At 41.3% G+C, this 16,112-nt stretch overlaps 1 long non-coding RNA gene across 1 annotated transcript in view; it reads right to left on the bottom strand.

The window, feature by feature from the left end:
- Window positions 1-739: 739 nt before the first annotated feature.
- The window catches only part of LINC02725 (long intergenic non-protein coding RNA 2725), an 87,798-nt gene continuing 72,425 nt past the window's right edge, over window positions 740-16,112 (bottom strand). The window contains exons 4-6 of the long non-coding RNA NR_183639.1: window positions 14,950-15,083; window positions 3,673-3,836; window positions 740-1,495 (exon numbers count right to left, since the gene is read on the bottom strand). This is a non-coding gene — a long non-coding RNA (long intergenic non-protein coding RNA 2725). The remainder of the gene's footprint in view (window positions 1,496-3,672; window positions 3,837-14,949; window positions 15,084-16,112) is intronic.

Below are 16,112 nucleotides of genomic sequence, written 5' to 3'. Positions count from 1 at the left end.
GGCCACCATTATTTGGTCCAGTAGATGGTGCTTGGTCAAATTGGGCCAAGTAATATCTTTTAGATGGACAAATTAAATTAAGCACTAGAGAGATTCTGTTGTTTTTCTAAGAGTGTGGATCTGTAATATGTACATTTGGAAGAGATCAACCCTTTGATCTGAAGAAATAGAGAGAAACAGCAACAAGAAGAGGGTGGGGGGTGTTGGGAGGGAGGAAGAGAGAGTCAGAGAGAGAATGCACACAGTTGTACAAAAAGGAGTAAAATTGAGGAATAGAAATAGACTCCTGACAACACGTAAGTCAGTAGTTTAAATTCATTCCTAAACTTTGTCTGCTTTTTACCCCTAGATCTTGTGGGATATCGTTTTCTTCAGTTGAACTTGAATGGTTTCCATTTTGTATGTCATCAAGGGTTTGATGAAGTCAATCCTTCTTTCAGTTTTGCCCCATCCTAATGTCTGCTATTGGGCATTCTTATGTGATAGTTTGGTAAGTTGGATGGTATCATTTCTATACTTGACAGTTATGTCTAAAATATACATGATTTGTTTGCTGAAGTTAAATGTGTGTTCTTAAAGTGTCTGTCATTTGCTGCACTGGAAGAAAAGAGCAAATGAAGTCTATTTTTACAGTGGGCAGTTGTGTTTTACTTTATAAAAATGAATGATCAAATTACAAAAGAATGATTTACAACTGTTATTGAGGGTGTTAGATATTTGACCAAAAAGATAAGACCTAGGCATGCTTAAAACCTTTATGTTCACTTTCAGTTGAAAAACCAATGCAATGAAAGTAAGGCACATCTGAAAAGACAGTCTGTCAATAGAAGAGTAGGATCCCATCTGTAAATATGCACACAAATTTTCCCAAATATACACACACTACATGAAGCAATATGGGGCTGAGAGATTTGGGAAGGGTCATAGAGATGAAAGGCAAGGAGCTAGCATTTATTCAGTGCATACTGGGCACCAAGCACTTAGTACATGTGTGTTTAACAAGTTATACAATTTTCTATAAAAACCCTATTACATATGTACTAATCATCCCTTTTTGCAGAGAAAGAAATTGAGACTCAGATAATTTAAACCATTTATCCAAGACCATGTGCCTATTGGAACTAGTATTAAAACACAGATAGCTCTAATTTCAGAGTCCATGACCCTTCCCTGTCACTCTTCTGCCTTCCGGTTTCAAGCTGTGTGCCCTGACCTCCTGTGGAGTAGGAGCTTACAGATCACAGTCAGTGGATTCTTAGAATTCACTGTGGTGGCACAGTTGAATCTACAGGTTTATCTCTACTTGGTCTCAACCAGATATCTTCCACCTACATATGCTTGACTCAGTGTGCTGGGCTTCTTGTGTAAGGTTTCTTCTGGAAAAAATACTTCATTGCTTTAAGAAGTTTGAAAGCCATCATCACAAGTCCAAATAGGTAGTGTTTGTCCAAGTTTAATCCCATTTTCTCCAAGTTTAATCCCATTGCATCTAGGACTTTGAAAAGAAACAGATTATGACTTTCACTTTTTTTAAAAAAAAAAGCTTAGTTTTTTAAAAACTGAAGTGTAAATAGAGAAGATTGTCTATAGTATATGCATCAGAAAACCCCTCCTGAAACAGGGAAATCAACTTGTATACAATCAGAGTGGTAAGGAGAGCAAGGAGATAATCATTACATGACAATTACCAAATAACAACTTTTAAACTATAGGTACAGTTCCTTTATGAAGTAAGTGTGCAAAACTACAATGGCTCTAGCTTCAAAACAGTCTAAGAGCATCTAAGAATAAATACTTTCTTATTTTAAAAGGCATGCATATCCCCAAATTCAGCATCAGCAAGCAAGCAAACGAGATCTGGGTTTCTGCAAGCCACATGGTACAAAGATGGTTTGGACCTGACCCACTTTCATGGTTCTGGTTTTCCCTGTGTAGCTGTTTTCATTGCATAATTGCGTTGCTGATTGAGCGTCGGTCACCTTAGGCATTGGGCTGAGAAGCCAGGGGACACTATTGCAGAGCCTGTTGCTTATGACAGGGGTTAACATTGAAGCACCACAGAATGGTATTCAGTATGGTGGAAGCAGTCTCAGGCCTCAGGCCACAAGGGTGGAAAGCAGCTGAGCTGGGGAGGTTTTGTGGTATTGATTACAGAGTAACAGGAGAGGAGGAACTAAGGCGGAATGTGCATGTTCAAGTCCTGACCACCTAACCTCTCAGATCCTCAATGTGAAATGGCATTAATAAATGAAGTTTATAATGAGGTTAATCATCAAAAAGTTGTATTTAAAAAATAGGCCGGGTATGGGGGCTCATGCCTGTAATCCCAGCATCTTGGGAGGCCAAGGCCGGCGGATTAGCTGAGGTCAGGAGTTCGAGATCAGCCTGGCCAACATGGTGAAATCCCATCCCTACTAAAAATGCAAAAATTAGCCAGGTGTGGTAGTGGGCACCTGTAATCCCAGCTACTCTGGAGGCTGAGGCAGGAGAACTACTTGAGCCTGGGAGGTGGAGGTTGCAGTGAGATGAGATCATGTCACTGTACTGTAGCCTGGCTGACAGCAAGACTCTGTCTCAAATAAAAATAATAATAAATGACATAATGCATGCTCCTGTTTCTTTCCTCCTACTATATTCTTCACATTGTACTTTTTGTTCAATGTCTGTGTTTCCCACTGGACTATAGTTCCTGGGGTCGAATATGATGTTGTTCTTGGAGGCTGCTATATAACTGACAATCAGCCCAATGCCTTGTACAGAGATGTACCTGGACATACTTCTGCTGAACGAATGAATGAATGAGTTTAACAGTATTTTGTTAAGTATACAGAATTGTTACTTGAGCTTTTGCCATTTCTTGACTGCTAACTGGTTAATTTCTTATCCAGAGAAAACCCTCCTACTCAAAAGTTGTTTACAGGGAATGACGCCCTTGAGTCACATCACAGTGATAAAATATGTACTCGGCAATCCCTCCTCACCCCCAAACTGGCCTCTTGCAATCTCCACCACATGATGATCCCGTGACGTCTAGGAAACAGCCCATTCTGTAGAGAATAAAAAGCTGTCCATCTCTCATTGTTCCTCCTTATAACCTTCCTCTCCTGCCCTGGCTCCTCACCCCCATCCTTTTCTATTTTCTACTTCCTGATCCATCTTGTCCCCAGGCCACTACTTGAAGTATGAGCAGTCTCCCTGCCTTAGGCAATTGATAGGTCCAGGGACACCGAGGTCAGAGCACAGATTGTTTTCCAAGTGTCCCTGAAGCCCCTGTATGGTGCTGGGGAGTCAAGCCCAAGGAGGCAGTTCACAGGAAATGGGACTGAATTTGCAACAAGCGGCACAAAGTGGCACCGGATATCACCAAACAACCAAAACACTCATTGTTTTCTCCCCACCCTGTGACCCAGGCCTGGGTTTATAAAGAGACAGCAGCTGCAGTCCTGGAAATCCCAGGTGAACACTCAACAGAGGGCACTGTTAGAAGGAAGCCAGGTGCTAGGCTTTGAGTGAGGGATGTTGACTGAGATTTCTGGGGTTCCATTTTTGTCTAGAATTATGTTTGCCTAAGCAATGTGCAGGCGATAACAAGATTCTTGTGGAATTTCAGCATGGGAATGGTCCAATTGTGAGTCATTTCCTCAGTTACTTAGTCAGCAACCTGGTACTTACTGAAGGTCTTCTACATGCTGGGCACCAGGCTAGGGGTGGAGACAGACAAGGGAAGATGCTCAGCACATGAGCCTTCAGGCCAAAGTGAGCTTCTGTTCTAGTTCTCATTCTGCTTCTTACTCTCCGAGCAACCTCAAGCAGCTGTATGACCTCATGGAGACAAACTGTGAATATTAAACAGAGATAATACATATGAACATCCAGGGGCTCAATGGGATAATTTATGTATGTATCGAAGTTCCTGATTTCAAGATCTTGGTTATAGTTCTCTGCTCTTAACACTACTGCATAAGAGAATGATCTGGAGAAATTTTAAAGAATGCCAATGCCTAAGTCCCACCTCCAGAGATCCTAGGAACATTGCTCTATTTATGAAGCTTCCCACATCACTTAATGTGCAGCCAGGATTGAGGACAACTGTGTGACAAGACAAAATTAACACATGGCATAATTAGAGAAAAGTTGATCACAACATGTCTGCATTCCCTTTCAAATAACATTAGTCCTGATGGCAACATTCTCATCCAAATTATCCAGATGAGCTTTGCAAATTTCCAACAAACTCGTTGACTATCCAACAATTGTATTAGAGGCTTCTTCTAAAATCCATATTTACCTTCTTTTACAACATTTCCTTTATCTTTAGTAAAACTCTGGCCTCTTTCTCTTGCCTACCCCCTCCTCTGTGGACTGTAAAAATGTGAAAGATTTATCTCCAGAAGCACATTCGAGTTCACTTATAAGTTTCTCTATAAGTTCACTTCCCATGAAAGTTAAAACAAAGACAGCAAGGAGGAGAAATAGAGAATACTAAGTACCTTTTACAGTCCCCTCTCTCCACTCTCCCTCTCTCCACCTCCCCAAAATCCAGCTCATCTGATTTCTATTATGCCCATATAAATGTCTCCTAAGCCTTGGGCATTTGGGGACATTGCCAACTCCACAGCTACTTCATGGTTTCACATTCCCCTTGCTCCTGTAACTCTGGCCCAAAGCACCAACTAAGCTCTGACCTTGACTGTTGAAGACAGCATGAGCATCAAACACTTACATGTGTGTTTTATTCAATAATACTTTTAAGCCACTGTCTTCCTCCAGCAACATGACACCTGCCAATCCAGGAAATCAAATCCCTTAAGAAAGATCAGTAAACAAATCTTCCTGGAAACCTGCATTGGAGGTGAGACAATCAAATGCAACGATGTAAGTAATTATCCAAGGCCATTGCAAGGAGAATCAGGTGCTCCTGTCTCCCACTATGCAACACAAGGCCTAGTTCTCTAGTTACAGAGCACAATGTTGCTGTAATAGCCTAATTGATTTATAATGTTTTTCTCTGTATTGCAGCATGTGTGCAATTAGTTACTGAAAAGGAAACACAGCTCAGCTCAGTTGCTGCATCTGCTGCTAGTCAGGGACATACAATTTCATGCCCTATTTTCCAGATGGCTTGATTAACATTCAGAGGAATCTAGTGGCTTGGCCAGAGCTGCAAAAGAAGCAGGGGAAGCTCAGGTATAATTGGACCTGGGAGAACCACCTCAGATAGAAAGAAAGCAAAATCTCGAAATGCAAGCCAAACCTGCAATACTGTGAGAAGGAGTAAAAGATGGGGAGTGGCTCTTTTTCCTCCATTTATTCATATATCAGTTCATTTATATAACAAATATTCAACGAGTATTTCATAAGTACCAGTTTTCTGTTAATTTCACAGTGGTAAGCCAACAAATATGTTCCATGCTTTAGGGAGTCCACAGTAAGTGGGGGAAGCACATATTAAATAGAGAGCCACACATATAAAAATGTGAGTGTGGGGCTGAGCATGGTGGCACATGCCTGTAATCCTGGCACCATAGGAGGCCGAGGCTGATGGATCACTTGAGGTTAGGAGTTCAAGACCAGCCTGGCCAATATGGTGAAATCCCAACTCTACTAAAAACACAAAAATTAAGCAGGAGTGGTGGTACATATCTGTAATCTCAGCTACTCGAGAGGCTGAGGCAGAAGAATCACTTGAACCCAGAAGGAACAGGTTGTAGTGAGCTGAGATCATGCTACTGCACTCCAGCCTGGCCAACAGAGGCAGACTCTGTCTCAAATATATATATATATATATGTATATGAGTCTGGGAGTGATATCTGTTAAGAGGAAAGTATAGTACAGGCAGAGAAGTACAGGTTTCCCTGAGGAAGAACTGTTAAATATGAGACCTGAGGAAGGGGTAGAGATGATCTCCAGAGAGGAGGAAAGGCATTTCAGAAAGAGTCCATAGCAGATTAGAGAACAGATCTTGGTGAATGTCAGTAATTTTAGAAAGGCCGGTGTATCTACAGCCTGACGAGAGGGAGGAGGTGGTATAGGGTGAGTCTGCAAATGTCAATTAAGTGCGGGGTAAATGGAGGCTTTGGGATTTCTATTAAGAATGTTGTATCTTTAAGTATGCAAGGAAGCCACTAAATTAGACATTTTAAGTAGAAGAGAAAACATGATTTAAATATTTAAACATTTGTTTTAATTGCTCCTTGGAAAACAGGGGCAAGATGGGAGTGTCATGAGTGGAAGCAAAGATAGCCTTTGGGAGCCAGGTGAGTACTGGCTGTGGCTTGGGTTTGGATGATGAAGTGGAAGCAAAGATAGCCTTTGGGAGCCAGGTGAGTACTGGCTGTGGCTTGGGTTTGGATGATGATGGTAGAAACAAAATGAAATTGATGATTTAGAGAGCTATCTAGGATGCAAAAGTCAGTAGGATTTGGTAGTAGATTGAAAGTGAAGACAGAGACGAAAATGGCAAGAAGAATGACATGTTTTCTTTCTTGAACAACAGAGTATGTGAACACATGGATCCTTCTCAGAGAGATGGAATTTAAAACAAGAGTGTGGAGTCAAATGTTTTGACAGAAAGCATAGAGTAAGAGGAAAAGGGGGCTCAAAACTGAGGCTTGAGGAATTCCAACTGAAGAGGTCAAATTGGTGGAGGACGTGATAGGGAAAAAAAACTATATTTGGAGAAATGAAAATAAACCAGGAGAATGGAAAGAACCCTATCAAATGCAATGCAGTTGTCAGGTACCATGAGAATTGAAAGATGTCTGTTGGGCTCAGGAGTGTGGAGGTCCTCATGACTACTATAGAGGAGCAGTTTGCCTGGCTGCATGGCATGTTTTGAAGTCCCAAACTCATTACCAGACTGACCCCTGAGAAGAGCTGTGGAAAGCACCAGTGTCTGAAGAGGTTTTTCTCTGTTAGTGCTGAAGGATATAATTGGATGGTTGAATGAGTGGGTGAATAGAGACTTTGCCTGCATCTCCAAACTTGTTTCTTATTTCTTAGTTGTGGCCATTTCTTTCTGGGAGAGGAAGGCATGGGGAAATGGTGAAAAGGGAATAATTGTCACACGTATCTACTAAAACAATTGACTCCACCCTCTTGTTTTAAATTCCATCTCTCTGAGAAGGATCCATGTGTTCACATACTCTGTTGCTCAAACAAGAAAACAGGTCATTCTTCTTACCATTTTCTTCTCCCTCTTCACTTTCAATCTACTATCAAATCCTCCTGACTTTTACCTCCTAGATATCTCTCTAAATTATCAATTTAGATTCCTAAATTAATCAATTCCTAAATCCTCTGGCTGGCCAGATTATAACATGGTAAGAATGAAGGAACTAAACAGATCTGGGGTTGTGAGTGGTGAGTTGTGGCCATTTCTTCCTGGGAGAGGAAGGCATGTGGAAATGGTGAAAAGGGAGCAATTGTTACATGTATCTACTAATTAAGACATCACATCGATCAGGTAACCCGTATTTATCCTCCACCTAGATCAGTCATTCCCAAGCCTGGCTGATCATCAGAATGACCTATGGAACTTTTACAAAGGACACACTTCCAAGTTACACCCCAAAACATCCTAATTCAGCAAGTGTATGCTGGATCTGGGCGTTCAAGTTCTACCTGGTCTACAGTTGAGTCTGATGATCATTCAGTCAGTGAACTGCTGCTTTAATTACTCTTGGTTTTAATTTCTACCCAAAACTCCCTGAAAATTCCAACGAAGAGCTCAGTAACCCTGTTCTTTCTTTTCCTCATTATTTTGCAAAATATAGAACACAAGGGGAACATACTTTTGATTTATTAATGATGCCAAGAAATATCAAACAGTTTATTGTTTCTATTATTAGAGGAAACCAGACCTGAAAAATAAGTGTAGCATAATCATTTACATACACAAGGCCCTTGAATGGTAAAGCTTCTCATGAATATCCTGGGATGAATGCTGGGAGGCTATTACCATCATCAATTCCATTTTTCAGATGAAGAAACCTAATTACCTCTTAAAGACCCCATCTCTTGAAACCATCACATAGGCAACACCTGAATTTTGGAGGGGACACACTGAAACCATAGCAGGGGGCAATATAAAGGAAGAGCCCAGCTTGAGAGGAGCACTTGGAAACCGTTTCTTGGGCCTTAAAGGAAATCTATCCAGGCTGGCGTTTGTTGAGTGCTGCTACTGCTGTTGTGACTGTTTATTTGTTGCTATTGTTGTTGCCTATTTTGTGCCAGTCATCCTACATATTTTACACCTCAGTGCTGAGGACAGCAAGCAGCTCCCCATGTTACCAGGTAAGCTTTCCAGATAAAACACAAGATGCCAGTTAAATTTGAACTTAAGATAAACTATGAGTAATGTTTAAGTATAAGGGTATCTCATGCAATACACAAGACATTTATATTAAAACATTACTTGTTGTTTATCTGAAATTCAAATTTAACTGGGTGCTTTGTATTTTTATTTGCTAAATCCAGCGGCTTTGTCCCTAAGACAAAGTTGGGAATTCTTAAAGAAAGAAAATCAATTTTATTTTTGGAAGCCTCCGATTCCAGCCTATTGTCTTCCTCTGTACACTTTTCCCTGTGCTTGCCACTAAGCTATGTCCAGAGTACAGCTTTAGGATCTCTGGAGCCTCTTCATCCACATAGAGCAGGACAAGTCAATAAAGAGGCAGCATTGGGGGAGCATGAACTTGACCCATTCAAAGTTAATGGTAACACCTTGGTGAGGAAAACAAATGTTAGGGAATGAAACAAAGGTACTTCCTGTAAGGACCACCATTATCACTAACTGAGGGAATTTGAGAGTGCTTCACTTCAAACGGATCTGAGGTATGGAAACCTGAGTTTATACAAATCCAGGGGTGCTTTCGTTTTACTAATTACAAAGGGATCCCTGGCCTTATAAAAAGATTTAAAAGATGTTTGGAACATAGTTTGACTTTTTCTATTCAAAAATCGTTCAATACAGCTGTTATATACAATAATGTACTCATTTATACTTTAATAAAATATAGATTTGCTGTTGTATGGGTTAGGGTCACCAGATTTAGCAAATAAAAACACAGAATGCCCAGTCACATTTGAATTGCACACAAACAACAAGTATTTTTCAGTGTGAGCATGTCCTGTGCTTATACTAAAAAATGAGTTGTTGATCTGCAATTCAAATGTATCTGTGCATCCAGTAATTTACATGGCAATGCTGTATGGATACAGTTTCATATTCCTGATTTTGAAGGCAAAGGAAGATGGAAAAAGGGTTTGGGAAAGGAATAGATAAGAATTAGGTCAGTATGTAATGCACTGAATTTTATCATAGGACCTGCTGGGCTCAGTAGATGTAGCAATTAGGTGCTTTTGACAGTGAGATTTGAAGTCTGTCTTGGAGGTTGGTAGACTTATATTACTATGAAGCCATGAGCCACTCTAGGTTTTGTGACCTAGCCACCCCCGTGACAAAACAGATATTTGCAAAAACAGCTGGGGGACACCTTCCGCACAAGGTCGGATGCACATTCCTCTTCCTGCTGAGCCTGGTCACCAGAGATCACCCCTCACAGGATTTCCATAAGAGGGCCAGGCAGTTCAGAAAGGAATCTCTTCCAAAGCGCCATCTGTTGCAATGTCAGCGGCTTCATGCATCATTCACAGGAGCTAAAACATTCAAATTAAAGTGGGCAAAAGAATTTGTGAGCCGCAGCTTCTGAATTTCCTGGATTTTTTCAATTATCTCTTTCATTTCTACATCAAGGTTTTGCCATTCTTTGAAAATGTGATCATCAGAGTTTTCAAATAACTAAAATTGCTCAAAAATGCAACGACCTGCCTCAGAAAGGAGTGAGTTTCTTGTGTTTAGGAGACTGAGTGAATATTTAGTGGGCATGTTAGGCAGCTGATACAATCTCTTTTGGTGTGTAGACTCGACGACATGATTTTTCAGGTCTTGAAAACTGTTTGGCACAGCACAGACTCTAGGATCATATATAGTTGAATTAAAATCCATGGCTTTGTCTTTTATTAATTAGTTTTGAACAAATCACTAAATTTTTCTAACCTGCTTTTTTTTTTTTGGACAGAGTCTCGCTCTGTCCCCCAGGCTAGAGTGCAGTGGCAGTGGTGCGATCTCAGCTCACTGCTACCTCTGCCTCCTGGGTTCAAGCAATTCTCCTGCCTCAGCCTCCCAAGTAGCTGGGACTATAGGTGCCCGCCACCACGCCCGGCTAACTTTTTGTATTTTTAGTAGAGACAGGGTTTTACCATGTTAGCCAGGATGGTCTCGATCTCCTGACCTCATGATCCGCCCGCCTCGGCCTCCCAAAGTGCTGGGATTACAGGTGTGAGCCACTGTGCCCGGCCTATTTCTTTATTTTTAAATTAGGGACAAACCCAATGGATTGTTAATATGCAAAGATAATACATCTTTTAAAGATTTGAAAAGATTTGTAAAGTACATGGCATCATTACAGACACAAAAACCCAGAGTGAAATAAATGTAAGTAATCATTTGGGTCCATTCAGATTCTGAGGTTATATATTTTAATGAACTTCAACCAGAAAAACCCTACTATGGTGATTTAAAGAGACCAGAAATTTGGGCTTATAGAACTTGTCTTAGCTTAATAGCATGAGATCCCATTACGTTGATGATCAAGAAGGTATCACAGGTCTCTTATTTGGTGTATTTTTTTTAGGGGTGGCTCAAGGAGAATGAACTTGGGATGTACTTGTCTCACTTTGGCCCCTGGCGCAATATGATGTACATATTCGGTGCTCAGGGAATAAGGTTTGCTGGAGAATGTGATCTCCTTTGCCATAAATGCAAGCAGGAGCTTTGATGTTTATTCCACGAAACTCCTGGCTAGAAAGAAACTCAGTCACATAGACACAATGGTGCTTTTCTTTTTTTTCTTTTTTTTTTTTTTTTTTTTTTGAGACGGAGTCTCGCTCTGTTGCCCAGGCTGGAGTGCAGTGGCGCGATCTCGGCTCACTGCAAGCTCCGCCTCCCGGGTTCACGCCATTCTCCTGCCTCAGCCTCCCGAGTAGCTGGGACTACAGGCGCCCGCTACCACGCCCGGCTAATTTTTTGTATTTTTAGTAGAGACGGGGTTTCACCGTGTTAGCCAGGATGGTCTCGATCTCCTGACCTCGTGATCCGCCCGCCTCGGCCTCCCAAAGTGCTGGGATTACAGGCGTGAGCCACCGCGCCCGGCCACAATGGGGCTTTTCTACATTTCAGTTTCTCTGCAGACCTTTTAAAATGTTGGGAGCTTAGCTGTGGTCAAAGAATGCCCACTTATATTTCCAACAGTGCTGAACAATGAGATCTCTCTTTGTAAAAGGTGCGTTCTCCAACACCCTATGTGAAATCTGCGGGACTATTTGTTTCATGTTCTCATCGGCACAGATCAATATTCCTAATTGCCTGCCAAGTCATTTTCCCAATAGTTTGCAGAAACCTTATCTTTTTTAGAAGCCATGTTGATTTTCTCCATTCTTATAAAATAATACTGCCATTCAGGTCAAAAGATCCAAATAATGAATACATTTGACGCAGAGGCTTTATAAAAATTATTTTGTTTCCTGCCCACACTGGGAATCTGTTGTCTACACATAATCAACAAGGAAGATTAGTTTATGGGAATCTTAAGTCCATCCTGAGTGCACAGAGATAAATTCTAAAAATAAAGCTAACTTCTATTTTTTTTTTTTTCCCCCTGGGGTAAGTGCTGAGCATATTTTCAGAGACTTGAGACTAAAGTGCAGCATCGGGCATTATTCTCAGTCTCACAGCGCCACCTTTTGGCCCATGTTCTCCCTTGTTTTCTGAAGGTGAAATCCAGGCAGCTGGTTCCTGGGGTGATTTTTACAATCCTACTTTCTTGGCTATGGCTTGACATAATTTCCCTGGAGAGTTCAGTCTTAGGGTATGATACTATACCTTGGATCTGCAAAGCATTAAAAGGGAGGATATTGTCAGATATATGATCTAGCCATGGACACAGGCCAGATGCATTCGTAACTGAAAGAGAAGGCCCTCTTGTCTGGTCCACTCCTAACTTGTTTGATTTTGCTGCTATCTATCAGCACCTTCCTTACTAATGCAGGATGGCTCAGTTAATTTCTTTCTTTGGTCTTCCAGTTATGCTGTTGAGAGCTTGCTCATGGCCATATATAAGAGGTGACAACAATGGCTTTTCAGAAACAATACCAAGAGAGCAATAGAAACACTTTATTTACCCACAGTGTAAAATGGGCTGCAACTAATTATTTACAGATGGGGCAAGCTTTGATAAATAGATTGACTGATTAATGATTTGGGTTATATTTCTGACATTAACTCAAACTGGACTTGGGCTTAGTTTCAAAATAAAATAAGCCTATCTAGACCAACCTGTTGGTGCGAACTTTAAAATGGCCAGAGACAATCAGATAGTGCTTTATTCCTAGGGGCTTATGGTTGGAAACCTTGAAGGAAAAATTAGCTGAATTATCTACAGTCAGGTTGAGTGCACGCCAAAGCCTTAGAATTCTAACTCTATTGTTTTGGCTGAGTTTCTACCTGCCCCTGCAGCTAGTCAATTCCATGGAAACATGACTCATACTGTTTGCCATCATGTAACAAAAATAAACAGTGGTAGTTCTCCTCTTTAGGTTTTTCAAGCACAAATTTTGGCTTGATTGAGGCTTAATCGAGGTTGACGACACTGTTAGAGCACTTCTTTCATTCTGACTTCTAAGAAGGAAATAGTGAAGAGAAGTTAGAAATAGACACTCTAATTTCTACATATATATATATATATATTTTTTTTTTTTTGAGACGGAGTCTCGCTGGGGCACCAGGTTGGAGTGCAGTGGCGCGATCTTGCCTCACTGCAAGCTCCGCCTCCTGGATTCAAGTGATTCTCCTGCCTCAGCATCCTGAGTAGCTGGGATTATAGGCACCCGCCACCACGCCCGGCTAATTTTTTGTATTTTTAGTAGAGACGGGGTTTCACCGTGTTAGCAAGGATCGTCTTGATCTCCTGACCTTGTGATCCGCCAGCCTCGGCCTCCCAAAGTGCTGGGATTATAGGTGTGAGCCACCGCGCCTGGCCCTAATCTCAATTTTTAGCTTGCATTTTAGTGGGCGCGTTAGGGAAGACATTTTGGTCAGAGCAGTCAATCTCTTCTACTTACAAAAGTCCTGTATATCCATCACCCCTCCATGCCAAATTTTATTTACTCCAAAAAGCCATTCTAATTTCTTCAACAGTGCCTTGTCCTCACTTTGAATCTCTTTAGTTCTTTTTCCTTATAAACATTTTCCTGGGCAAGAAGATGGAAATCTCCGCACCATGCCGGACTCTCCTTGCTGTTTTGCTCCTAGTAAGCTCTCAATAAGAGATTTTTAATGTAAAACTGTGCGAGTACTTAGTGGCAGAAGCACAAGCGCTCTTCCAAAACTGCAACAGCATAGCAATATGGTGCACATGTCTGTGAACATACAGCTACCACCCCATCGACAGCTTCTCTTTCTTTTGCTCAATTTCTTTTTTTTTTTTTTTTTTTTTTTTTGAGATGATGGAATCTCTCTCTGTCGCCCAGGCTGGAGTGCAGTGGCCCGATCTTGGCTTACTGCAAGCTCCGCCTCCTGGGTTCACGGCATTCTCCTGCCTCAGTCTTCCAAGTAGCTGGGACTACAGGTGCCCGCCACCACGTCCGACTAATTATTTGTATTTTTAGTAAAGACGGGGTTTCACCGTGTTAGCCAGGATGGTCTCGATCTCCTGACCTCGTGATCCGCCCGCCTCGGCCTCCCAAAGTGCTGGGATTACAGGCGTGAGTCACCATGCCCAGCCCTCAATTTCTATGCTGTAGCCAAAGCAGCTTTAAAACAAATTTGAACTTGTCACTTTCCTGCTTTCAAAGCTTCATGACTCTTTCTGGCCTCCTAGACTCCGAATTCCCTAGATGGGTCTACCAGGCTTGTACTGTCTGTCCCCAAACCCCCTCTGTAATCTCACTTTCCTCCATTCCCCCATGATTCACACTTCTGTCTACTTTGAATTTCTCTGTTGTTATCCCTTTCTGAACTACCTCTCCCTCCATTTTCTGCCTAGTAAACGTTTCTTCATTATATAAGACTCCCTATAAAAGTTCGCAAATTTCTTTAGGATTTTCCAAAGATCCAAGACAGAATAAGTTTCAACTTTCTCTGGGATTTTATATAGTTTTGCTCATTATTTTATTATAGCATCTACTGAGTCTTATATTAAAATTCTTCACCTATACTAAGTCATGTACTAGATCTAAGAGTCTTTAAGATAGGGATCTTACTGATTTGTTTTGGTCTTCAAGCTTAGTATATAATACATAATAGGACTTTCATAAGTGTGTGATGAATGAATAAATGAACAATTCTAAAGGATAATGACAATAACACTGGACTGTCATTGGTAAACTTGAGTTCTAGACCCACCTGTCACTTCCACCTTGAGGTCTCAGACAATTTAACCTTATTAGTCCCAGATTGCTAGCATGCACAATGAGTACTTCAGATTTGGTAACTGCCGAAGTCTTTTCTGTTGTCCGATCCGTGAAGTTGCGGCTCTTGAGTAAAGCTCATCAAGGCAGACTTTCTGAGAAATTCCCAATGCAACAGGTTTCAAGTAATTAACCAGGAAAGACTCTTCCAGAAGTGGTAGCTCAGCACATACTGAGAGTAAATACCATGTTAGTGATGAAGAGATTGGAATTTCTGCAAAGAATTGATTCTGATCTTGAGCCTCTTACTAGTTTGGAGAGATCAAAATATTGGACACATTGCCTATTGTTATTTACTTGAGATTAGTTAATGGAAATCAGAGAATTTAGGGGCACATAATGCTGCCACATGAATAACTGACTTGATTCTTTTATAAACCATTCAGATTGAATTCCATGAAAAGCAAATTCCTACCTACTTTTCCAAGGATTGAATCCAGAGTGTTTTCTTAGACGGTGTAACCGGGGTGCACGGGGCAGTGAGCTAAGGTGCAATCTTCCGTCTGTGTTGTGCTTTACACTTGTTCTCACTATGCTTCAGTTTAAAAGGGACCTGAAATCCAGGAAACAGAAGACTGTGGTCCCCTGAGTATCCAGCTTTCCACTCAGTATCTCTTCGTATCTAATTGGCATGCCAAAGTTTACATGGCATCAACAAAACCCTTGGTTGCCCCACATATCCAGAATTTACCTCCACAAGTATTTGCTATTTAAGTAAATGCCATCATTATCCACTCAATTTCTTAGAACAAAAATTTACAAGTCATTCTGGATTCCTTGATTTCCCTCAATTCCCATTATCCAATCATCAGTCTGCTATTCCATTTCCATTAAAATGTATTCTGAAACCAACTACTTTTTACTCTCTCTACCGCAACCACCCTTTCCCCAGATACTGTGATCTTTTAGCTAATGTTATCACCTCTGCAGTAGCTTTTCTGCCTCCACATTTGCTCCCTTACATAGGATCTGTTCTACACGCAGCAGCCAGAGAAATCATTCTAAACTACAAATCAGATCCTCCTATGCCCATTTAAAAGTCTCCAGTGGCTTCTAAGTATGTTTTGAACCTGACTCTTCCCATGGCCTGGTCATTCTAACATTATCTGGCTTTGCCAATGCACCCAATTCATCTCTCTCTCTTCCTTCTTGTTTCTCTGGTTTACTTAGTTTTATCCATGGTCTTTTGTGATGTCCCCCCATTTTTTTTTCAGAAATGTCATCTTGCTCTGTCACCCGGAACACAGTGACGTTTCTTAAAAAAAAAAAGACATCACAAAAGGATGGAGTGCAGTGCTATGGTCATAACTCACTGCATCCTCAAGCTCCTGGGCTCACACAATCCTCCTGCCTCAGCCTCTGGTGTAGCTGGGACACAGGTGCATGCTACTCACCTGTCCTGATGTCTTCAACATACCAAAGAAATTTCTCATCTCATTACATTTGTACTTATGGTTCCTTCTGTGTCAAATGCTCCTCTTACATAGCTGGCTTCTCATCATTTAGGTTTCACCTTCATGAGGCTCCTCCTCATGAAGAGCTTCTCTGATGCTCCTCCTCATGAAGAGCTGCTCTGATGCTC

Source organism: Homo sapiens, chromosome 11 (assembly GCF_000001405.40).
Source record: "Homo sapiens chromosome 11, GRCh38.p14 Primary Assembly".
Taxonomy (NCBI): Eukaryota; Metazoa; Chordata; class Mammalia; order Primates; family Hominidae; genus Homo; species Homo sapiens.
This window is presented reverse-complemented; position numbering and strand designations above follow the sequence as displayed.